At 38.5% G+C, this 26,177-nt stretch overlaps 4 annotated features.

The window, feature by feature from the left end:
• Positions 14,335 to 14,512: a silencer, noted in NCBI's record as "fragment chr13:105926712-105926889 (GRCh37/hg19 assembly coordinates)". NCBI's record gives its function as "represses an EF-1alpha promoter that drives an FKBP-Casp9 reporter gene in an ReSE screen in HepG2 liver carcinoma cells {active_cell/tissue: HepG2}" and the evidence as "EXISTENCE:reporter gene assay evidence [ECO:0000049][PMID:32094911]".
• Positions 18,615 to 19,115: an enhancer, noted in NCBI's record as "OCT4-NANOG-H3K27ac hESC enhancer chr13:105930992-105931492 (GRCh37/hg19 assembly coordinates)". NCBI's record gives its function as "activates a minimal SCP1, AML or CMV promoter by ChIP-STARR-seq in primed H9 embryonic stem cells {active_cell/tissue: H9 hESC(primed)}" and the evidence as "EXISTENCE:reporter gene assay evidence [ECO:0000049][PMID:30033119]".
• Positions 19,116 to 19,616: an enhancer, noted in NCBI's record as "OCT4-NANOG-H3K27ac hESC enhancer chr13:105931493-105931993 (GRCh37/hg19 assembly coordinates)". NCBI's record gives its function as "activates a minimal SCP1, AML or CMV promoter by ChIP-STARR-seq in primed H9 embryonic stem cells {active_cell/tissue: H9 hESC(primed)}" and the evidence as "EXISTENCE:reporter gene assay evidence [ECO:0000049][PMID:30033119]".
• Positions 22,377 to 23,312: an enhancer, noted in NCBI's record as "OCT4-NANOG hESC enhancer chr13:105934754-105935689 (GRCh37/hg19 assembly coordinates)". NCBI's record gives its function as "activates a minimal SCP1, AML or CMV promoter by ChIP-STARR-seq in naive H9 embryonic stem cells {active_cell/tissue: H9 hESC(naive)}" and the evidence as "EXISTENCE:reporter gene assay evidence [ECO:0000049][PMID:30033119]".

Raw genomic sequence — 26,177 nt, forward strand, 5'->3', positions numbered from 1 at the left:
GTTTCATGATTGGTATGCCTGATTTTTAAATTGACCTAAAGAAACATTTCAAGGATTTGACTGCAATGAATCAGAAATGATCATACAGAGCTGGCATAAGGCCTTAGCATTGTTTACCTTTCAACTTGAGTCTTTTTGGTCCTAGTGTGAATAAATGCTTTCTGTGTCCTTTGCTATTAAATCATGTCCTAGGTGGGGTGGATAATGTTCCCCATGCATTAACACCCTTCTCCAGGTACATTTTAAGCAGCAGCCCACAAATAAGAACAAAGCCTACAAGGTGAAACGAGACAGGGAGGCATCACGGAACATCATTTAGGTCTTGCCCATTTTTACTCCCAGCCTTGCTAATTGCCACCTTTTCACTTGTCACTAACTTTGCAGACATCAAGCCTCCTTTCCAATAGTCTGTCTGAAAAATATTTAACATAAAAAAAAATTTAAGACTAAACTCCATTTTTTCTTTTTTTGTTGTTTTGTTTTGTATTTTTAGTAGAGATGAGGTTTCACCATGTCGGCCAGGCTGGTCTCGAACTCCTAACCTCAAGTGATCACCCACCTTGGCCTCCGAAAGTGCTAGGCTTACAGGTGTGAGCCACTACACCAGGCCTAAGGCTAAATTATCTTAATCAAAGGTTAAAAGACTTAGTTTTTCCAATGTGCAGCCTCATTATATACTGATGAATAAGAGTAAAAACATATACTATATAGAACTTTAATGAATTAAAATTAACAAGTTACAACAGGGGCCTCGCTGAAGAAAACCTCAAATGCTATATATCATACTTGCATTCTCATCATATTGATTTTCTCTTGGGATAATTTAATGATTTTGAAATCATGAACAAAACAGCACAAGATGTAGTACCTTATTATTTCAATAATTATATTTCATTTCCAGAAGCTCTCTTAGATGGAAAACACAGCTTATGGTCAGGTGACTGCAGCCACTATGATAGTGGATCACAAAAGTTAAGTGATTACTCATTCAAGATTTATAAAGAGTTACTTCTGGAAGCCACTTCAGCTACCTGGTATTTGGAGGTTTTATGCTGCTAATTAAAGCTAATTAAATGCTAGATATGCTCTTCTGGTGACTGGAGAGGGCTCGATGCTGGAGTGAGTTTTAACTGACTTAACCGCACAGCATTGTATGCGTGAACACAATAGGCCTTATTAGGTTTGATTTCAATGCAATGATGTTCTCAAAGTATAGATAAAATTACTGAGCCTACATTAGAAAGACTTACATTTACTTTTTTTGATCCTCTCAGGAGTGGGGATGGTTTTCCCCTCATACTCACTCTGTCATTTTGATGGTCCATGGCATTTGGCGTCATAGCTAGTTGGCATTAGAGAGCAGTCTGAATCCACGAAACAACAGAAAGCTAACAGGTCCATGCAGGAGTTGACTTGTGATCTTGGCCTTGTTAGCCCATTGGCCTAAGTATGTCCTTGCCATCAAATCACTGCTATTCACTCGCCTAGTTGCAATGACACTGGTAAGTAAAAGGGTAAAGGCCTTGGGAGTTGGAATTATGACTTTCTTTTCTTGAAGTGTTTCCCCCTGAAATTACAGTACAACACTGACAAGTTGTTTGATCTATCATGCTAACCCACAAGGATAATAAGTCTTCTCCTCAGCCCTGTGGATTTACTCATGGGGTGGTTAGGTCTGTCACCATACCAAAAGCTTTGCAGAATCTCATTTCACCACATCTTCATACAGTCTGGCATTTCTAGTACTTTCACTGCCCACGGTTAATAGAGAAAATTTATTATAGAATTTTATTAGCATCTACATCTATAGTTTCTTGCTCATCATAAGCCATTTGAATACATAGTATTTATACATTTTGCTACATCTATTTATTAGTTTAGATTTTTAACATAAAAATAAAATAAAACTTCCACAGTAAAATATTTAAGAAGTTAAATATAGCCTGGTAGTGTGATGTGTCATCATACAAAATGCTAGATATTATTATCATAGAGAAGTGATGTCTGATTTAATCTAGCATTACTTGATTTGAGTCCCCCAAAAATCTAGCCCTAGATTAATTTTGGAAATATAGATTAATGAAAGCTAGTGTTTTAGGCTTGGTTTTCAAATGTAAGACAGAATGATACAAAAATGATTTCCTTGAATTCCTTAAAGGCATACCTCAGAATGTAATTTAATATAGAAAACTGAAGGTTATTTGTTAAAGTATGTTTATTTGCTTTATACTTAATATGCATAAATATTACTTTTTATGAACCAAATCTAATTTGGAACTTAGAGGTTTTCAGATTTGAAAATAGTGCCCTATTATTATTATTTATCCTGCATAAACAATATGATCCTTTGACATTTGTGTACTAGTAATTTTCAAAATTAGTCTTTCTTACTAATGAAAAGTAGCTCACATGTAAGTGGGAATGAAATAGTTAAATAAAAAAACAGCATTCACTACATCCAAGGGGAAAATGTGATGGTGCAATACAGAAATTAAATAATAAGATGATTATCTAAAAAGTGGCAGAAGGTTTTTGAGGTGAAATTTAACAAGAAATTATATAATAGCCAAAAATGCCACAGCAGCTAAGGGGGGAAATTCATTTCTAGGTATTCACAAGAAACTGCAGGATGGATTTTTACAATAAGCACTCTAAGTTTCAACTTTTGATCTGCGTGGTGATAGCTAGTGAGAATAAAAATAACCAGCTAATGAAGATTCTGCACTTTGAATTACAGACACTGATTCTGCAGATAGTTGGCAATTTCTTCAAATATGCAATTAATATGTCAAAGCTGATCCATATCATGATGAAAATGCTGACCAGTTCAGAAGAGCTTCTGTGTAATATGTTGACGATAACTTTTCATCAACTATAAAGCTGATAGAATGAGATTTGAAAAACACAATTTGAGGATCACCAATAACATTATATTGCCAGTGAGCCTACCACTGACAAAACTCTATTTCCTTCTCCAGGATCAAAAATACAGATTGTAAAACTAGAATTGGAGCGGCTGTATTCTAACACATTCCCACAGATGACAGATACCTTCCTACATCTCACGCCATTAGCCAGTCCCCCAATTTCCATATGTATCTCCTAGCTGTACATTGCAACTCTCAGAACGTTGAATAAGGAAGGAGAACTAAGGGGCTATATTTTATCCAGGAAAGTTAATGTTTTATAGTAAGTCTGTTAGCAGATATAGAGAAAAAAAAAACCTGAAATCGTAAATATTAGGACTTTAATTTGTTTGTTTCTGGTAAGATTGCTTAGGAATTAGAAGCAGCTTCCAACTCATGCAGCCATGGGAAATGCCTTGCTAAACACTGGTAATTGACTGAAGGGATACTGATATTGCCCTGTGGTCCAGCTCTAGACGCCAAAAGGAGAGAAAGGCTCAGAATTGTAAGCAAACCCATATACTAGGTTGGCAAACAAAAGATCTGAACAGATATTCATTTTCGAGAGTGGCAATGAAAACTTATATAGTCTATAATAAAAAAAATGAGAGGACCAATAGATAATGCTGAAAACTCAAGGAAGAAGAGACGCTTTTTTTTTTTTTTTAAAAAAAAAGGTACGTATTATAAGATCCAGAGGTTTGAAAGACATGTTTTAAAAATTGGCATGCCCTATGAACTATTAAGAAGTAGGCATCTAAAGAGCACAAAGTAGAAACACACCAGCAAAAAAAAAAAAATATCTGGAGGGCCAGAAACTAAGAACTATAGATGTTTTCGAAGGAAATAAAATGTGTTAAGGAAGCAACTTAAAATTGCATTTAAAAGACAGAAATACATAGTATTAAATCAAAGACGAATTCCTGGATGTTCACTTCTGCCCCAAAATCAGTAATTTACATGAGAATGGCTTTCTTACTGATAAAAATCTAGAAAACTAGATACATGTAAAAAACAACATTTTTTACATATCAGACAAACAGAAGCACAGGGTTGTAAACTTTAAGGGAAAAAACATAAATGGATGAATGGATGTCTCTATTTTTTGCCAGGAGGCAAAATCCAGACTGCACTGAAAGGAGGGTAAACCCACTTTGAGCTAAGCAGGCTGTCTGGGTTCATGAGACAGAGAGGCGCGCACAGAGGCCAAAGCATTTCAAATTCGCAAATAATGTACTGAAAAGAAGGGGCTTTGCAGAGAAAAATCTCCATTAATCTGCATAGCATTGTCTTATGTCCCTTATGCATTTAAAAATAAAAGCAAAAACAGAAGATATAGATTAGAATATATAACATACTGAAAATAATTTTTTTTATTTTTTTCCTCTAACATTACTCTGTATTCTGTATTTCATTACTCATCCTAGGTTACTTACATAATGGGCCAAAAAAGTCTATATCATAAAAGCAACAACCTTTTACAACCTAAACAAAGTATTAAGGGGTCAACACAGAGGCAGGGAACCCCCAGATTCAGTACATTTAGCTTCTCATCTTCTATTTCTTAGAATCTCACTTATTGAAAGAATAAAATACTATTTTTTACTCTCTAATATAGTTATGCTTTCCTTTTAATCTTTATTTTTACTGGAGAAAACAATTGTAATACATTTGCTAAATGATAGTAATCCAGTGCTAACCCTTTCAAGTTCTAATTGATTTTCCTTTTAATCACGTGTTTATAAAAGAAATATCTTCCCTTCCTGTGGCTTAAATCTTTATTCTGTGTTTTTTTTTCCTTGTTATGGAAAACTGACATACTAAAATATGGCTAATTTCAAATCTTTCTTAAAATTAATATCAAGTTACAATATAATAAGCTCGTGGACAATAGCATAAGATATAGAAGAGGGGTGCAAAAAATAGTTATATCTCTCAATACTAGGTTCTGCCTGTTTTTCAAGAAAAGACTAATTTTACAGTATTGTTGCTCCAGAACAGCTATCTACAGTTAAAATGCAGCCAATATAAAAATTCTGATACTCAAGTAGGTTTACAGATATATTCAACACTACACAGCTAATAGGTGGTGGAATTAGGATTCGAATCCATCAGGGCTTCCCCTTGGGTCTACAAGGCCCTAGACAAATATGTTTTTGGGGGTCTTTGTCTATATAAATATAATTTTATAAATATAGACATTATAAAAAGATTTTCAATGTCAGTAATCATTAGGAAAACTCAAAACCAAAATGAGACACTACCTCACACTCATCACGATAGCTATTAAAAAATAATACAACAGAACATAACATGTATGGCAAGAATGTGAAGAAATTGGAACCCTCGTACATTGCTACAAGGAATGCAAAATAGCGCAGCTGCTATAGGAAACAGTGTGGCAGTTCCTCAGAAATTAAAAAGAAAAATACTTCATTCATCAGCCATTCCATTTCCGAGCACATACCCAAAAGAACTAAAAACAATAGGTTTTTGAACACCTATGTTAATAGCAGCAGCATTCACAATAGCCAAAATTTGGACGCCACCCAGGTGGCCATTGAGGGATGAATAGATAAACAAAATGTAATATATACACACAATGGAATGTTATTCAGCCTTATAAAGAAGGAAATTCTAACATACTACAACATGGATGAACCTTGAAAGTATTAGTATAATACACTCATACAGTCACAAAAAGACAAAAATTGTATGGTTCCATTTATAAGAATTTCCTGGAGTAGCTAATTCATAGAGACAGAAAGTAGAAGGGAGATGGTCATGGGCTCAGTGGAGAAGAAAGTGAGGAAATAGTGTTTACTGGGTCCAGAGTTTCAGGCTGGGAAGACAAGACATTTCTGGTGATAGAAGGTGGTGGAAGCTGCACAACAGTGTGAATGCCCTAGTGCCAACAAACTGTACATTTAAAAATGGTTATGATGGTGCATTTTATGTTATGTATAATTTACTGCAATAACAAATACAAAATGTTGGAGCTCCTGTGAAATATAATGATTCAATCTGGACATTTATATCAATGAGTAGATCAGAGTGGATTACATATGTGTCCATTGTCCAGCTACCTTGTCTTTCTTGTCTGATGCGGGAACTATCTCTTTGTGTTCTTAACTGTCAAATATTGAGTGCTGGGCTAATTTTGTATCTCCTACCAGTAAAAAAAGTTAGCAACCCTCCTATTACCCTCCTTGTTAGGCCTGTGTTTGTACTTGAACAATATAGATGGCCTTTTCCCTGTGGTTTCTTGACATCATTGTTTCAATGCTGGGTATATCATCCCTCATCACTTGGCATTGTCCATCCTGCTGCCTGTGACCTCTGAGTTTCAAGGACTCTTCTCTTCGATCATGATCACAATCCAATCCAAAGTATATAGCAAAATGTGAACACTAATTCTTTGTCTGGTTATGTTAAGTTTACATTTAACTTTTTCAACTTTTAGAGTGTGAACACAGAACAATTTTCCAATCAGGTGCTCTGTGGAAATCTGTAACCCATAATTGCTGTATGTAGAGGATGTTCCTCTTCCCATGTTGACGATGCCTCTGCTGGCCACACACCTGATCCCCAGCAGGAAGGATAAACATGGAGTTTGCGTGTGGAGCTGGAACAATCCCATTTATGCAGAGTATGGCAATCCATCATTGAGCCTGGCAGATGACCACTCAGCAAACATGATATCACCCCATTGGTTGAGGTTAGACAGGAGAATTGGAAAGGCCCATTAGCATTGTGGACTAATCATCTCAAACGCTCTTGAAACAGAGAGGTGCAGCCACCCAGATCTGCCTCACATAGAGTACAGAGCCAGCAGAAAGACTGGGTGACCACCCCAGGGGCAAGGACACACAGGGTAAGGAAGGTTGCTGTCACCCATGCCAGCCTTGACTGATGTAAACCAGACATGGTTCCATGGTTGGAACCCAGAGGTGAGAATCAGCATGCAGCCACACCAGAAAGTCACAGTGGATTGCAGGTAGCCCTATGCTCTAAATTTGTCCTGTGTCAACAAGTGTGACAGTGACCAGATCCTCGGAAAGAAATACTGTGACTGCCAGTGGTATATCCTGGACCGATGAGGCCACGGGTCTGAATGGAACCCAAAGACTGAGTCCCAGGGCTCCTCTGGGCACCCATTTGAACCCACTCATAAGATGAGGGACCACACATGCCCCAAAGGGAAGAGTACAGGAACCCGTGCCCACGCGAGTCCCTTTCAGACCCAGGCTAGATTCCTGCCAGCACTGCTGGCCCTGGATGGTCCCAGCCACTGGAAGGGGTACTTAGAATCTTCTGAACAGGGTATTCTAAAGTGGATCTAAAGTTGCTACTAGAATTGATATATGCCTACCTCCAAATTTAGTTTCACTGTCAGTGGGTTTCTAATTTTTTAAATAGCAGAGGCTTTAAAATAAAATCTTACATAAGCCTAAATAGAGAAAGCAGCTAATAGAAAAAAACGTCTGCTTGAAGCATGAGTGAGGCCTAAGATATCACTCACATGTCCAACCTCTTGGCACCTCCATCGTTCGGTGGCAGCTCCCAGGACATTGGCAAAACACCCTGCAAAACACCTTCTGACTGAACGGGGCGGTTGTATTCCATCCCTGCTCAGAGCTCTTTGGAAGAATCAATGAGATTGATATAATTTGATCACCATCAGTCTTTTCTCTCCAGTTTGCAAGCTACCCTGGTTTCCTGTTTCATTCTATTGACCCTCACTCAGCTATCCCTAGGGAATGGACCTCACAGTATCTTACATCTTTAGTTTTATAATCTAACATACATATTCAGTAAATTAAACAATGCAAACAAACACAAAAGTTATGATCAGGGAAAATAAAGCAAAAATAAATTAATTGGTCCTGATACACTGATTCAGTGCTATAGCAGTTTCCTCTCTTACTGGGTATTTCATAATCCCTACCCCTTTGATTTGTACCATGACTGACTTTTCTTAGATTTTAATTTTATTAGGAAATGTCAATGCCTAACAAAATTTAAGTGATTAATGTGTAAATGAAATTATTCTATTTATAACATTTTGTATTCTGTGGTCAGAACATTCTCAAACATATTTTATGTTAGCTGTGGCTTTTATCAGATAGTTCCCTGACTTTAAAACTTTCAATAAGTATTAACCACCAAATGTCATCCAGATTCCTTATCAAACTTTCAAGGTTCACTGCAATTCAATCTCTAGCTGCCTTTGAATCTTCGCCAACAATTCTAATGGACCAACTGCTAATATCACTTATTAGACCATTTTTATGTGCCAATCACTTAGGTAAATAAATATGTTCATTGTTTAGATGTATTTATGTATAGATACATATGCTGTATATACAATATAGATATTGTATATATTTGTGTACGTGTGTGTATATAAAACTGAGGTTTAGAAAACAAATAATTTTACCTAATGACACAAAATCACTGATTGTAAAGTGTAAGTTGATTTCAACTGAAAGGTGTTGCCATTTCTATTAAAGAAGTGAAACATTACCTGCCTCTTTATACCATCTCATGTGTTTATTCACCCCAAATACATTTTCAGCACTTCCTTTCTTCTTCCCTCATTCTCTGTTTCTGACTTCTCTCCATCCCCCTTCCTTCTTTTCTTCCGTTTCTTTGTTTTTGAGAAATTACCGTTATAATTCTGAGCATTGGACTCAATCTAGAGGAGCAATTGACATATAAAAATATTATATATGTATGTGCATATGGGTGTGTATATAATGCACTTATTGACCAGCGAAGTTCAGTGCAGGTGCTGGGAGTTTTACAGGAAAGATAAAACTTGACAGCAGTTAATTGCTGTACACTATCTGTTGCACAAGGAACTTGCATACTATGTTAACATAGTATGCAAAGATTTTATACCCTGAACAGGTAGACATAGATTGATTGATTGATTTATATAGATTACGTAGATGTGCATTAAGCATTAGTTATACCCATATACTTAGGTATATATCAGATATATGTTATACATAGTTATGTATACATTTCTATTATATTATATATAATCTATATTGTATTATAATTATATTTTATGTTGATATGGTTTGGCTGTGTCCCCACCCAAATCTCATCTTGAATTGTAGCTTCCATAATTCCCATGTGTTATGGGAGGGACCCAGCGGAAGGTAATTGAATCATGGGGGTGGTTTCCCCCATACTGTTCTCATGGTAGTGAATAAGTCTCAAGAGATTGGGTGGCTTTATAAGGAGAAAACCCTTCCTCTTGGCTGTCATTCTCTCTCTTGCCAGCTGCCAAAATAAGACATGCCTTCCACCTTCTACCATGATTGTGAGGCCTCCCCAGCCACATAGAAATGTAAGTTCATTAAACCTCTTTTTCTTCATAAATTCCCCAGTTTCAGGTATGTCTTTATCAGCAATGTGAAAATGGTCTAATACAGTAAATTGGTACCTGGAGAGCTGGGTGCTGCTGTAAAGATACCCCAAAATGTGGAAGTAACTTTGGAATGGGTAACAGGCAGAGGTTGGTACAGTTTGGAGAGCTAAGAAGAGGATAGAAAGATGTGAGAAAGTTTGGAACTTCCTAGAGACTTGTTGAATGGCTTTGACCAAAATGCTGATAGTGATATGGACAATGAAATCCAGGCTGAGGTGGTCTCAGATGGAGATGAGAAACTTATTGGGAACTGGAGTAAAGGTGACTCTTGCTATGTTTTAGCAAAGAAACTGGCGGCATTTCACCCCTGCCCTAGGGATTTGTGGAACTTTGAACTTGAGAGAGATTATTTAGGATATCTGGCGGAAGAAATTTCTAAGCAGCACAGCATTCAAGATATGATTTAGGTGATGCTAAAAGCATTTGGTTTTAAAAGGAAAACAGCATAAAAATTCAGAAAATTTGCAGCCTGATGATGTGATAGAAAAGGAAAATCTATTTTCTGAGGAGAAATTCAAGCCCGCTGAAGTAATGTGCATAAGTAATGAGGAGCTGAATGTCAATCCCCAAGACAATGGGAAAAGTGTCTCCAGGACATGTCAGAGATGTTTGCAGCAGTGCCTCCCATCACAGACCCAGAGGCCTAGGAGGAAGAAATGGTCTCATGGGCTGGGCCTAGGGACCCCTGCCATGTGCAGCCTAGGGACTTGGTGCCCTGCATCCCAGCCACTCTAGCCATGGCTAAAAGGGGCCAAGGTACAGCTCAGGTTGTGGCTTCAGAGGGTGGAAGCCCCAAGCCTTGGCAGCTTCCACATGGTGTTGAGCCTGCGAGTGCACAGAAGTGAAGAGTTAAGGTTTGGGAACCTCTGCCTAGATTACAGAGGAAGTATGAAAATGCCTGGATGTCCAGTCAGAAGTTTCCTGCAGGGACAGGGCCCTCATGGAGAACCTTTGCCAGGGCAGTGTGGAAGGGAAATATGGGGTTGGAGCCTCACACAGAGTCCCCACTGGGGCATTGCCTAGTGGAGCTGTGAAAAGAGGGTCACTGTACTCCAGACCCCAGAATAGTAGATCCATCAACAGCTTTCACAGTGCACCTGGAAAAGCCACAGACACCCAGTGCTAGCTAGCCCATGAAGGCAGCTGGGCACAGGGGCTGTACCCTGTAAAGCCACAGGGTCGGAGCTGCCCAAGACAATGTGAGCCCACCTCTCACAACAGCGTGACCTGGATGTGATACATGGAGTCAAAAGAGATCATTTCAGAGCTTTAAGATTTGGCTGTCCTGCTGGAGTTCAGACTTGCATGGGCCTTGTAGCTCTTTTGTTTTGGGCAATTTCTCCCATTTGGAACGGCTGTATTTATCCAATGCCCATACCCCCATTGTATCTAGGAAGTAACTAAGTGGCTTTTGATTTTATAGGCTCAAAGATAAAAGGGATTTGCCTTGTCTTGGATGAGACTTTGAACTTTGAGTTAATGCTGAAATGCGTTAAGACTTCGGGGTACTGTTGGGAAGGCATGATTGGGTTTGAAATGTGAGGACTTGAGATTTGGGAGGGGGCAGGAGTGGAATTATATGGTTTAACTGTTTCCCCACCCAATCTTATCTTGAATTGTAGCTTCCATAATCCCCACAAGTTGTGGGAGGAACCCAGTGGAAGGTAATTGAATCACAGGGATGTTTTCTCCCATACTTTTCTCGTGGTAGTGAATAAATCTCATGAGATCTGATGGTTTTATAAGAGGAAAACCCTTTTGCTTGGCTCTCATTCTCTCTCTTGCCTGCTGCCATGTGAGATGTACCTTTAACTTTCCACCATGATTGTGAGGCCTCCCCAGCCATATAAAACTGTGAGTCCCTTAAAGCTCTCTTTCTTTATAAATTACCCAGTTTGGGGTATGTATTTTTCAGCTACATGAAAACGGGCTAATACATAATTATATAATGATTCATGAAAAGCATATAATTTATCATATATTGTATTACACACCTAGTTCAAATGTAATATAACATATATTGCATATAATGAAAGTTGTATTATATGCTGTATTCTATAGAGCCTATATAACATATATCATAAAAGTTGTGTTATATGCTATATACTAAATAGCCTACATAATGTATGAAATATATAATATATTAGAGTATTCACTAGGACTAGATGGTGAGATCTTGACTCACATGCCAAAGTGTTGGTTCCTCACCCCAAATGTGATGCACAGCCATAGCTGCAATACAGCCCCCTCCTCTGTCATGTTCCTGCATCATGACCTGCTGTAAGCTTCTGTGGTTGTCATTGTATTGCACCACAATAAGTCAATTGCCTTTTAATTCACTATATTTTCTTTGCTTTATTTTCTTTAAATTTGGCTTATGTATCCCTTGCCTCGTGAATTCAATTATGATTTCCTTAAGTGCAGGTGCTATCTGTGTTTTGTATATTTCAGAGCACCTAGATACTTTAAAATAGTAGTAATTATATTTTTAACTTTTAGTTTCAGGGGTACATGTGCAGGTTTGTTTAATAGAAAAATTACATGTTGTGGGGGATTTGGCGTACATATTATTTCATCACCCAGGTAATAAGCATAGTATCTAATAGGTTATTTTTCGGTCTTCACCCTCCTCCCACCCTCCGCCCTCAAGTATGCCATGGTGTCTATTGGTCCCTTCTTTGTGTCCATGTGTACTCAATGTTCAGCTCCCACTTGTAAATGAGAACATGCAGTGTTCGGTTTTCTGTTACTGCATTAGTATTCTTAGAATAATGTTGTCCAGCTCTATCCATGTTGCTGCAAAGAACATAATATCGTTAATTTTTATGGTCACAGAGTATCCCATGGTGTATATGTATGAAATTTTCTTTATCCAGTCTACTATTTATGGGCATTTACGTTGATTCCATGTCTTTGCTATTATGAACAGTGTGGTGAAGAACATATGCATGTGCCTTTATGTTATATACTACATTTCTGTGGGTATATGCCCAATAAAGGGATTGCTGGGTTGAGTGGTAGTTCTCTTTTAAGTTCTTTGAGAAATCTCCAAACTGCTTTCCACAGTGGCTGAACTAATTTATATTCCCACCAGCGGTATATAAGCATTCTCTTTAATCTGTAGCTTCACCAGTATCTGTTTTTTTTTTTTTTTTTTTGACTTTTTGATATAGCCATTGTGACCAGTGTGCATATCTATGATTTTTATTTGCATTTCTATAATGATTAGTGATGTTAAGCATTTTTTAATATGCTTGTTGGCTGCATATATATTGTATTAGCCCATTCTCACACTGCTACCTAAGACTGGGTAATTTATGAAGAAAAGAGGTTTAATTGACTCACAGTTCTGCAGGCTGTACGGGACGCATGGCTGAGAAGCCTCAGAAACTTACTATCATGGCGGAAGGAGAAGGGGAAGCAAACATGCCTTACCATGGCCGAGCAGGAAGAAGAGAGAGTGAAAGGGGAAGTGCTGCACACTTTAAAACAACCAGATCTTGTGAGCACTCGTTCACTATTACAAGAACAGCAAAGGGGAAGTCTTCTCCCATGATTCAATCACCTCCCACCAGGCTCCTCACTTAACATGTGAGTTGGGTTTGGTGCTCACTTGGGTTTGGGGTAGCTGCTCTGCTGCCTTAAGCCGGGGGCTCAGCCTTGTGAAGAGTAGTGGGTGGGGGAAGAAAGACTATTCTCTGCTCTGCATGGCAGCTGTGGAGTGCTGGAGGTGCCAGCGATGCAACCAAGCCCTTTGTTCTTTCCCCAGCCCGAAGGCAGGAAGGGTAATACCACTGCAGCTGCAATGGGAGAGGGCTGTTGGTTGTCTGTGGAATTTCCTCCCCAGAGTAACACGGAGCCACCACCGACTGAAGGGTTCAGTCAGGGACAGGATGGTTGGGCTGGGGACCAGGTTGAGAGTCCCTGCCTAGTGAGGAGTAACAGGGGCAGGGACCTATGTGGAAAACACTGTGGCCACTATTGTGTAAGGCAGCTGCACAGTGCTGGAGGCCTGTGTTAGTCCTTAAGCTCTTCCTCCCTCCTTAGCCTGAGGGCAGCAGAGGCAGGAGCTGCAGAACATAACAATGGTGGGCCTCCCTGCCGCCTCTGGGAGCTCCATCTCAGGGAAGTGCAGAGCTGCTGCCAGCCCGAGAGCTCGGGTGGGTCTGGGGTGGCTTAGGTCCCTGGTTGGGAGGCCCTACCCAGTGAGAAGTAGCAGGGGAAAGGACCCATGTGGAAAACAGTCTGGCAGCTTTTGCATAAAACAGCTGTGCTGTGCTGGGGTCTGAATTAGTCCTTAATCACTTCACTGTCTCCCAAGCCTGAGGGCAGCAGGTGTGGTGGTGGGGGGGTTGTTGGGGGGTGCTGTAGAGCAGCAAAACTGGTGGGCCCGTGTGCGAGTGCTGGGAGCTCCATCCCAGGGAAGTACAGGGCTGCTACTGGCCCAAGAGCTCAGGCAGGGCTGGGTTGGCCATGCTAGGGTCCCAGGCCACTTGGCTTTGTCCTGTACTGTGCAGTACAGGCAAGGCCTGCAGTCCATCTGCTCTTCAGCCCCATAGATTCAGCTCCTATTCTGACAGCGTGTAAGGGAGTCTGGCCTCCCCTGTTGCCAGCGCTTCAGTTGCTGGTGCTGGGGTGTCCAGCTGTCCAAGTTCCCTAAGGCTAGGCATGTGCCTGCACAGTGGCTCTGCCCAGACTCCATGTCACTCTCTGTGTCAGTCTGGAAGCCCTGGTGGGGATGGGAAGGGATGATCACAGGGAATTGCCTGAGCCCAGAGTTGCAAAGGTCTGTGGCAAAAGTGTGGTCCTCGGGGGCTTTCATTCACTCACCGTTCCACACAGTGGGGAGCCTCCTCTTTAGTCCCAATCCTGTCTGGTCTTGCTCTTCTTTGTTCTCTGTGGGTCACATTGTTTCCTGGATGCATCCCAAAGTGTCCTCCTGGACCATCCAGGTCAGGAGCTAATGTATACTCACCACTGTTTCTCCTCCCCATGAGAATGGCAGACATCAGCTTCTAGTCAGCCATCATGGCACTAGAAAATATTTCCTGGCTTCCAGGGATCCTGCTGCCTTAGTTATGGATGGATCTCCCAATACCTTCCAGTCCCAGAATCACAGAGTCTGCAGTAGAGTCACCTAGGGTCTCCAGGAGCAGAGGGCACGGAGCGGTGAAGACAGGATGTGGAGCTCTGTCTGAAGAAAGAGACAAAGGCCCTGCCAGATCCCAGTAATTATTTTTTAATGTAATTTTATCATAATACTTTTTCTAATTTGTTCTACTTTATTTGTATATAAAATGTACTTAAAATGCTATTTTTCATTAATAAAATCATAAAATGTTTTATGTATTACCAAAATTTATATTCCAATTTTTCAAATTGGGAATAATGTCCTTGAATTTTTACCATTTAAGTCTAGCAAAGTTTTATATCATTATTGTATGAATATACACTATATAAATAACATAAACATATTATATATAAGTATATTGCATGTATGTACATGTAAATATATCGATCTAGTATATATGTAGATTTATTGAATATGTGCATATGCATTTGTGTATGTGTGTAATGGTTACGGGGATTACCAGGTTCAAGATCTATGATATAGTAAATATCAGTATGTAAATTTTTAAGAGTCTTACTATACCCGTTCATAGTATTTACACACATACACATGCACACAGCCTGCAAGAAGAGGTGCTAATCATCTTAAAGCATATTGCAGCATTTTTCAAACCAGACTCATACATTATTATCTCCGCTTCCTGATTTAAAGCCTGGCTTACAATTTTATGTATCACACATCTATTTGGATCATAATATATAGAAGACTGTTTTATGAAATGATGTTTATAAACTCTTTGGGTATGAACTTATAATTACGTCCAGATATCAAGTATTTTGACCGAAAATATAACTCCTTTGGTGGAATCTAATCAAATTGGTCCAATTAATGACTCAGTACTTCGTACTTTTTAGATGTTTAAGTGTTCGTTAGCACAAGTTAAATTTTTAAATATAATTTTTTCACACAGAAGTGTTCCTTTTTAACTAATATTTTGTACTGAGTTTTGGGATATTGTTAAATGGATTTTGTTAAAATTTCTTTGTCACTGTTTTTCAAAAACAAATGTCTCCCAGACATTCTATGTTCATGGATTGAACGACTTAACATTGTTAAGATGTCAATACTACCTACCGGTATCTGTAGATTTCATCCAATCCCTTTCAAATTTCCAATGGCATTTTTTACAGAAATAGATAAATCCATTCCCAAATATGTATAGAATCTCAAGAAATCCCAAATAGCAAAAACAATTCTGAAAAGGAAAACATAGCTGAAAAACTCACACTTTCTGATTTAAAAATGTACTAGTCTTACAACAATCAAAACAGTGTGGTACTGACCTAAAGACAGAGACCAGTGGAAAGAAATAGAGAGTCCAGAAGTAAATCCTCAAAAATATGTGCAGGTGATTTTTAATAAGGGTGTTAAAACTATTCAATGGGGGAAAAAAGTCTTTTTTAAAAAATGGTGCTAGGAAAACTAAATATCCACATGCAAAAGAATCAAGTTGGACCCTTACCTAATACTATGTAAAACATGATGTAGTATTTAAATAAAAATGAATTCAGTATCTAAACAGAGACCAGAAATTATAAAACTCTTAAAACAAAACACAGGACAAAACTTCACAATATTGAGCTAGCAATAAGTTCTTGGCTAGGACACCAAAGACACAGGCAACAAAGTAAAAAATAGACAAAATGCATTTTATAGAAAGTAAAAGAAAATAAAAATAGATCTTCAAAGGACACAGTCAACAGAATCAAAATGCAGCTCACAGAATAGGAGAAAATATTTGCACATCATATATCTAATGAGGGATTAATATTCAGAATATAAAGAGAACTCCTAAAGCAACAACAGCAAAACACACAACCCAACTTAAAAACAGGCAGACAGCACAATTTAAAAAAAAAGACTTAAATAGAGATTTCCCCAAAGAAGATATACAAATGGCCAATAAGCCCATGAAAGGATGTTCATCTCTAGTCATTAGGGAAATGCAAATCAAAACTATCATGAAATACCAATTCCCACTCTTAAATACCATTTCAGGCAAAATTGGTCATCTTACTGCTTTAAGTGCATTTATCTGATGCTAACATTATTCTTTTTAAGAGACAAATATCTTTATCAAATAATATATAAAATGTTTCATTTCTTCTATCACTGAAGATGTTTGCATACAATGCAAAATAAATAAATGCTGGCCTCTTGCAAGTATGAAAGGAACTCAGTATACAGCACGTGCTGTTGGTAGAACACCCCTGGCTTTCGCTATTTTGTCATGAACTCTGCTAAGAACCACTTACCCTAGTCAAGGTCTCAGATTGCTCCTGTAGTTTGGCAGAGAGTCCAATTGATGGTGTAAGTTGAAGAGCTCTTCTAATACACACTTTCTTTGTTTGTGGTTCTAAAAAGAGTTGAGCTCAGTACGGAAAGCTCATTACATTCACTATAAACAAGCAGCCTTGTTCTAAGATATTCCTGCTGGGTAATCATCATTGTGAATATATGTACATCTAAGTTCTTGGTTAGCTTTTTTTCCACACCCACCCCCTCCCCAAGGGGTGCCATTTGGTATGTATTAAAATTCTGTCTTCTTGAACATTATTGACAGTCAGTTATAATGATTTCACCAGAGGTGATATGTGCCTTATTCAAAAATAAAAATCTTAAATTCCAAGAACTTCAATGATACTAAGGGGTCCGGCATTCCCAGTGAATCAAAAAATTTGGTTTTCAGATATTAAGTAAGTATGGAAAACTCACATATGCTTAGAAGTTATGGCACAGATTGAAAATAAGGAAAAAAATTGGAGGGCTAGGGGCAGTGGCTCATGCCTGTAATCCCAGAGCTTCAGGAGGCTGAGGCAGGAGGACTGCTTGAGACCAGAAGTTTGAGACCAGCCAGGCAACACAGTGAGACCATGTCTCTATAAGAAATAAACCAAAGTAGCCAGATATGGTGGCCTGGGTGTGCTGTAGTCCTAGCTACTAGATTGCAGTGAGCCCTGGAGTTCAAGGTTACCGTGAGCTGTGATCATGCCACTGCACTCCAGTCTGGGAGACAGAGGGAGACTCTGCCTCAAAAGAAAAAAAGAAAAAAAAAAGATTGGAAATATAGGTAGAACTCACTTGCTTATGGAACTGTATTATCCAATTATAGGGTGGTTAACAATATGTGGCCCTCAAGTGTCTGTATACACATATACATATGTGTCTAATGTTGCATATATTATTGCTAACATATTATACTACACAGTATATATCTAGAAGTTACATGATATTATAACTATAAATAAAATGTCAAATCTAAATTTTATTTTCAGACTATCTTAATAAGTTTAGCATTTGGGAACATATTAGAATCATCTCCGTATGTGAGAAATGGGGAGTAAAGTTTTCAGCACAGCATACATTAGCTCAGGATGAAAATCTTACCTGATTGCAAGTGATTGTCAGAGATTAATATGTTTTAAGTTTCACAGGGAGGACACCCCAATAATCACAGATGCTTCTTGGACAGTTCAGCCATGTCTTAAAGTGACGTGCAGAGCTCTCTGAGTTCAAATCTATAAAAATGTTCTCTTGTCTTATCTAGTTCAGTCTATACTTTTGTACAGATCTAAGGTATTTATTTTTTTGTCGTTAATGTAATAATGTATATTATGCTGAAATAATACCTAAGTAGGTTATAGATACTGAACACTTAACAAAGTGACAAAGTGTTTACTTATTATGAATTTTGTTATTTGTGTTTTTTTGAACTAGTCTATCTATTTTTAAAAGCACAGATGTCCAAACATTATAGTTAGTTGTTTAAATACCTTGTATCTCATTTGATTGTAAGCAAAGCAGGGCTATGAATGAAAGAGAAATACTTAAATTTGATTGCATTAGAATATTTAACTGCATAAATTATTCCAAAAATATAAAGTCTTGTGACTTAAAGGTTTGGAACAAAACAAAATTGTGATGATTATTAATAATGTATATTGACTTGTGCCCTAGTTATTTTTTATCAAGTTAAAGGTTAATTTACAATTCTTTCATTACTAAACTATTAATTGAAATTCTGTCTCAGTATGGGCTCGAGATGTTCAATAAAAGAGAGATAAGTGAAACTTTCTTTGATTACGGAAGCTCATCCAATATTTGCAAATGCCAAATTTTATAATAGATTTAGGCACCAAAGGAACTTATGCTTTTCTCCAGGAAAAAAAAAAAAGAAATAATCAATCACCACCATGATGTCATGATGTATACATCAGTTTTGAGGCAAGTTACAATCCCCACTTTCACTCCCAAACACCCCATTGCAATAACTGCGCAAGTAAGAGTCCTCAATTCTGAAGCCTGGGTGGTCAGCCTGGTGAGTTTGGAGGTTCTAAGTAGTTTCTGATGATCAGGAAGTGAGGAAGCAGAGAGAAACAAAGCAGGACAGAGGGAAATGGGAGATACATACATCTCTCACGATGTGAGCCCAAGTTTGCAGAATGAGAGGTAAAGGTTAACTACCTAAGCTGATTCCCCACAGGCTGGCCTCCCGGGATTGGCCTCCTCTAATCCTCTGAGCAAACTGGCTTTGGTCAAGTGCTAATGACAATCATCCATCGTGGTCAATTGCAGAACTTAGACCCCAGTCTCACCTCAATTCATTAGTCTGTGGAAGAGCCTGTGTTTTCTGAACCAGGAATGCTGATGTGGCAAATACTGCCAGTAGCTTGCCCCATTGTGCAATTGCAACAATTCATGGACGCCTGTACTGAATCATGCCAGTGGAGGGGCTGGAGTCCCCTCTAATGAACACAGAGCAGGAGACAAGGGACTGCTCCGTCATCCTGCTATTGTGCCTTGCTCCCAGACACATCAGGGAGGGAGCTGATGTTTGCCCAAGTATAGAATTTGAATGCCTCATGGCCTTAGGTAATTTGAGCTGCCTCTTTGCCTTCTCTGTCATTCAGACAATCTCTTAAAAAGTAAGATTTCCTTGAAATGTCTCCAGCTAAAAATTGTGGCTTGAGTATGTCCCTGATAAAGGCTTAATTTTATTTGATTTTATCTGGAAATACAAAAACATTATGGGGCAGGGAGGAAGCACAATAAATAAATAAATAAATAAATAAATAAATAAATAAAATAAGATAAAACCAGGGAATAGGAAAAGCTCTCATTTGAAGGGTCATCTTAATTGGATACAAGTTCTTAGAACTTTTATGAAATATTCTTATAACTCTCATTTATGTATCTAAAAAAAATCACTGGAAGTAGATACTTATTCCAAACTGCCCATGACAACAACTATCTGTGCTGTCTCTCCTGCCTTAAAGAGGCATCAAGCTGTAAAGGCAAATAGATAGCAGTTCTGTCTTTTAGAAAAGAATCTAAAATTTGGCTTAAAATGTAACACCTGGTAAAGTAAAGCATATAGTAGATGCTTAATAAATGTTTTGAGAAACATATGAATGATTACATAAATGAATTGATCAAAGGATGGTGGCATTAAGAAATTCTAATCAAATTGAAGCCACTGTGACAGCTGTCAGATAATCTAGGCTGACATCCTAGGGCACAGAATAAAAAAAAATTCTAGTTTCAAATTGCTTTCTTCAGACACTGATTAATACTAATAAACTTTTAATACAATGGAGTAGAATGGTGTTTTGCAGAAATACCTTCTACAAATCCTCTGAATAACAGGCTGCCTGGCTAGATCTCTTTCATGACAATGATATTTGCATGTCTAGAGAAAGATATGGTTTAATAATGTTGTCCCCTGGTCTGGAAGATCCCTCCCTGTAAGGTGAGATCTTCTCCTGTTTTATTTTTATTTCTTCAATTCCTACATAATCACTGTCCACAGTCTGTAGTTAGTAAAAGGTGCTTTTTCAACTGGACTAAAAATATACAATGGCCTATAATTAAAATTTTTAAGTTATTTAATGCAGAAATCCATAAAAATAAAGGAAAAATGACAGACAAAATAGAATTGAGAAATAAAAATTATACTCCAGATGGAATTTAGAATACATGGTCCTTAAAGATATAGAACTCATCTTATTTATTACTGTGTATTTGACACCTAGCCCAGGGCCTATCACATAGTCATCATTTTATCAGTGTGTTTATTGTGTTTATTAATACAGTTGAAATATTTATTAATACATTGTTGAAGGAGTGATTCTGTCCTCTCATTTAGGCCTACGCACATCAGATTTCAGTTTCCAGGTCTAGATTAATGTATGTTAACTTGAATATGAGGTGAAGAATCGGAACAGAAAGTTGAATTTTCCAAGATCTTGTAAATCTCCGAATTACCAATTTTGGTTTACGTAGAACTAATAGAAGTTATGGCTTTAAACTAGATAAGCCTACCCTAGCCAGAAAAACTTAGTGGGTTTTATTTCTCATTTAAGTAAGTTGGCCTCTGTGCAGATGGTAATAGAATCAGTCTCAAATAATTGCCACAAGCTTAAATGAAAAGATACATGTTATTGTGCAAAGGCTGAAAAGCACATGTGCATCAGATAAGGACTCCCAAGCCACCTGTAGTGAGAGACAGTGATTTGCATCACTGTGTCTTGTTACCCTCCAGCTCAGAGAACATGATACTTACAGGCCAGCCAAGCCCTCCTTCTTGGACTCATTCTCATTCAGAATCTTCCACAATCTCTGACTCCTGTACTTTCATCCATTATTGACTCCTCAACCTGCTTCCTCACAAACAGAAGATGACATTCTGTCACAAACACAGAGCGAATCTGTACCCCCAAATTCCAAAAAAGGCAGATTTTCTGCTCTGTGTGTCCACATGAAACTTCATACTCGATGTTCCAACATGAGGGTGTGACCCATCTGAGCAACTTATGTCACTCAAAGCAATTGAAGAAAACACTTATTCAGAGAATCATTAGCAAAACACCATGAGCCTAGGTCTAACTGGGAAGGAAAATATTTCAATCCACTTCGAAAATATTCTGCCAAAAAACATGTTAAAACACCCATCAACTTTTTGTTTTTTAGATTTTCCTTCCCCCATCATATGTGGGCAACTGTTTTGTGCTGTCAAGTACTGACATTTTTCAGCTATAATCTCTCCTTCCTTGGTAGCCTTGGGGTTGTTTATTTTCTTAGGGTTTTAAGTTATTTTTCTTGGCCTGAAAACTCATGGTGCCTACTGTCAGAGCTGCACAGAACCCAGTGCTCAGCCACTGCGTGCCTCCAAGCGCTGACATCCTAACAACAGTCTGGGTCTCTGAGGTCTTGGAGCAGAGGGAGGTGAGACAAAGATAACAGGGTCTAAACTGTGCCTACTGGAAGTCTCTGCTCTCAAATAATAAAAAAACTTAAAATGAACAACATTTTACTAAATATAGCCTGATCACTGCATTTGCATGGGGGCTGGATTGATCTGGAATGATCAGAGCTAACATGAAGCTCTTTTCTGGAGATGTGGGACATCAAAGTCACATACTAAGAAGGGATGAAGACATTGCAGTGTATCGGTCTCCCTCACCCTGTCCTTCTCTAGCGGTACCCCCTCTCTGAATCTTTTCTTACTGGCCACAAAGAACAAAACTCTCAGTGCAATGCCATGACAAATTTCTCCAGGAAGGCTAACCAAATCGTGAAAAGGTGCTTTTTTTGTTGCTGTATTTTTAAGGAGTCTTTAAAGGTTAAAGTGAATCCATAAAAGGCTGAATTAGAAATGTTATGTTTTTAATTTTAATAGGCCATCTTACGTCTTGCTCTACAAACACCAAGTTCATTGTGGAGGCTAAGAAGCAGCGCTGCTGTGTGCATTTGTTTTGTGAGGTCAGTCACCTCTTCTCTCTCATGCGCACAATAACATATGCAAAAAATTCAACTCATACAAATGTGCTCCACAGGAAAATCAATGCTTTTTTGGTCATGCCAACCTAGTTATTTTTCTTTAATGATTACGGGCTAACTACACACAGTCGAACAATGTTCACTAGAAATAGATTAACTCGGCCTTTCAGTTGATGTGAGCTGGCTTCCAATGCTGGTTATGAAGACAAAAGCCGGCCCAACAAAAGCTTCTCCCCTCTCTTTAGTGGCTTTGATGCTGCTTTTCAGCCCCTCTGTGCAGTGACAACCTCATCGCTTGTGATTGATCTGAGAACCTGTGCACTTGGATTCCTTGAAAGTTTTTGTCTTGGTTTCACTGGCATCTATCTCGCATTCAGTTCCGATATCTGTGACTTCATCATATCCATGGCCTGCCACTAGCTACAGAAGCGCATTGTTCAGCCTCTCTTCATGCCGGAGGAGGTTTTCCTAGGGGTTGCTTCTTGTTCTCAAACATGAAAATGTGTGAAGCATAAAACTCCAGCTGTGAATACTTACCTCCCTGCAGTGTTAAAAAGTTCAATATACAAAACACCTGGTTTCAACTAAAATGTACATCAAGATATACAGCAAAGAGACAGATTTAATATCCCCCATAGGGCCCTTGGGCGGTTTTTAAAATTAAAGACACAACACACTTTCTTTTTTTTTTTTTTTTTTCAGATGAGGTTTTACTCTTTTACAAATAATGAACCAATAAACATCAGGCAGTCGAAGGGAAAGTTGTAAGAAAACAGTGGAAAGGGTCATTGTCATGTAAATGAAAATCACACAGGCGTTACTTAGACACATTGTAAATGTATTTATTCCTGGTCAGTAAAATTCTTTTTACAAGTGATAAATGCGGCCAAAAGCCTCAATGATTTAAATCCTGTGGGGAATACTAGCTCTCTTAACTTCAGCGACCTTCTAAATGTTCATCATGAATTTATTTACTAGCAGATAAAAGTAGTAGAGCGGCCATTTTAATGTCTTCTTCCTTGCAAGAATCCTAAACTTGGATAAATGATTATTAGAAAGTAACTGAATGGTTATTTTTATAAGTATCCTTAAATCCTCCCAAAGTTAAATTTAACATTTTTAGATATATATATATCTAAAATATTGAAAGATATTGAGAGGGCAAGAGTGGAGACAGCAGAAAACATTTTAATATGGCTTCGTGCAAGGTATTAATTGAATAAAATATCTTTAACTGTTTTTTTTTTTTTTCTGGATTCCCCATTTCAAGGTTAAAGAGCCAAGTGCCTGTCTTTAGGAAGAGCAGTGAGTGTGGGTATCTGCGGGTGTATCAAGAGTTAGCTCAATGTGGTTCACAGTGTCTTTCCAAGAGGGTGCAGAAGCTGCAGCAGAAAGTGTGTGGTTGGCCTCACTTTCCTTCCCCCTCCACTCACAGCCACGCCCCCCATCAGGACTCTCTCCCCTGCATTTTTGGCCTAAATATCCTAGGATCGTTCAGGGCCAGATTCTGAGATAGAAACAGCTTCCCATTATAATTATGGTGCAGTATTCAGTTACAAGGGTCATTCCCCGCAGTCTACCTTAGAAAAGGAAAAACAAAAGAGCCCAAATTTAACATTCTGTAATTCTCACTTGCTTCTGGTGTAGTTGTTAAAAAGCACAGAGCCCTGGGCAGAATGCCTTAGTTCAGACCTCACTGCTCCTTATGCTGTCTGTGCAACACTGGGTATACTGCTGGTCTGCAGTTTTCATCTTTGCGAAATGGGAATAATATTAGTACCAATCTCATCCAATTTTGAAAAGGATGAAATGAGTTAAAACAGGACAAGGCTTAGAAGAGTGCCTGTCAGATAATAATATTCAGCACGGTTAGCTAATATCATCACTGCCGTCATCTTCTCCATTAAATACTGATTTTAGTAAACTCTGATTCTATCTTGCTTATACACCCTACCAGCAGGTTTTGATTCTATTTTACGTCATCTTTGGTGGAGTTTTTATTTAAAGTATTTGGCAGAAGGAAAGTGATACTGGTAGTATTACACAAAGTGTTGGTGCATTCACTCAGCAAATGCTTATTCATTAAAACTCAAGGAACCCTTGGGCATCATTCTCCAAGAGACCGTTTTTGAAACAAGGAAGATGTATTGGGTTTTGTATTTGGGATATGTAAGTGCCAAGAGTGGTCCTAGTGTTAGTTTAACAAGCTTAACAAATGATGTACCTTTTAACATCTCTTAACTACAAATCCATAGTCATAACCTCATTTGTTTATGGAAGGGTGTTCTGGAATAATAAAATATTTTTTCACTCAATTAGCTCTCCCACGCTCTGCAATGATCTTTTTATTCTCCCTGCAAAAGTAACCAACACCCCTCCTCACTTTCCCACTCATCAAGTTAGATGACCTTGCCAGAGAAAACAGAGGGCATTGGTTGGAATATCTCTCAACATGTCCCGACCCGCATCAGGAACTGTCTTACCTCTTACTAAACAAAAGGAATCATTTTTCTTTTTGCATAAGGCCAGTATAATTGTCCCATGTTTCAGTACTGTTCATATTTGGCTTCTCTGCTTCCACTTTTAGCACTTTCTTGCTTATTCTCAACACAGTCACAATCATCCTGGTGGTCAGCTAATGTCTCTCCTCTGCTAAAAACATCCTTGTGATTTTCCATCTCACTCAGAGGAGACACCGAAGTCCTCCTCACAACCTGCAAAGCCCTGGAGCTGTAGTTCCCAAGGTGCTCCTGGTGTTGCGCTGCATCAGTATTTCCCTGAGAACTTATTAGACATGCAAATTCATGGGCCCCACCTGAGGTTTATGGAATCAGAATCTCTGAGAGCTTAGAAATCTGCATTCCGCAAGCCGCTGGGCGATTTGATATGTATCTCACCTTTTATTTTTTTCTAAACTGATCGTTCTCCTTCATTTTCATCAAACACCCATTAAATATTTTCATCAAAACCATCATGCTCTCAACGCAAGACATTTGCACTTTTGGTTTCCTCTGTTACAAACATCCTTTACCCACATCAACTCAGGCCTCCTTGCCTCCTGCATATATTTATTCCAATGCGACTTTCCCAGTAAAGATGTTCTCAAACATCCTATGTTTAATTTCACCTTTCTCCATTTAGATATATTCCTCTCTCCCTTTCCTGATATATTTTTCTCTGTAACATTTATCTTAATAATACACAGAATGTTTTACTTATCCATTTTTGTCTCCTTGCACTGCAATAGGAGCTTCTCTACAGCTGGTATCATTGTCAGTTTACTTCACTGGTGCCTCCCCAGACCCTGGAAGATCAGAAGAGCTGGTTAACACTTTGATTTGGAAAATTTTTGGTTTTGTGGGTCCCATCTGAACTTTATCTCATGCACATCCCAGTATTTCTTCATACCAGAGCGCATGTATTTTTCAGCTTTTACTGAGGCAACAAATAAGCCCCAGATCTTAAGTTCTTACAACTGACTCATGGTTCTTGCTGAAGGTCACCTGGGGTCTCTGGGAAGTTGCAGTTCTGCCAGGTTCTGCTGGGCACTACAGGAATCAGCCCAGCCCCGCTCAGTGTGGCACTCCATGTCTTTTTATATGGTTCCCAGGTTGAGGGAAGGAGCTCCAGTAGCAGAGTGAGGGGGAAAGAGGGTTCTTGCAATATTTCTAAAGGTTTCTGCTAATATAAGGCAAACACATTATCTTTTCACAACCCACTGGCCAAAGCTAGAAGCATGCCTAACCCCAAAATCTATGGAGAAGTGAACATATTACTTCACAGGACGGGGTAGAAAGGGGATGGATGTAATTGGAAACAAGTAGTACAATCTACTACGTGCAATCTCTTCAAAGTAAAGTTTGTACTTCTTGGATTTCAGAGAATTATAATACTCTGGAAGGAAAAAAAGGTCCCAGAA

Source organism: Homo sapiens, chromosome 13, assembly GCF_000001405.40.
Source record: "Homo sapiens chromosome 13, GRCh38.p14 Primary Assembly".
Taxonomy (NCBI): domain Eukaryota; kingdom Metazoa; phylum Chordata; class Mammalia; order Primates; family Hominidae; genus Homo; species Homo sapiens.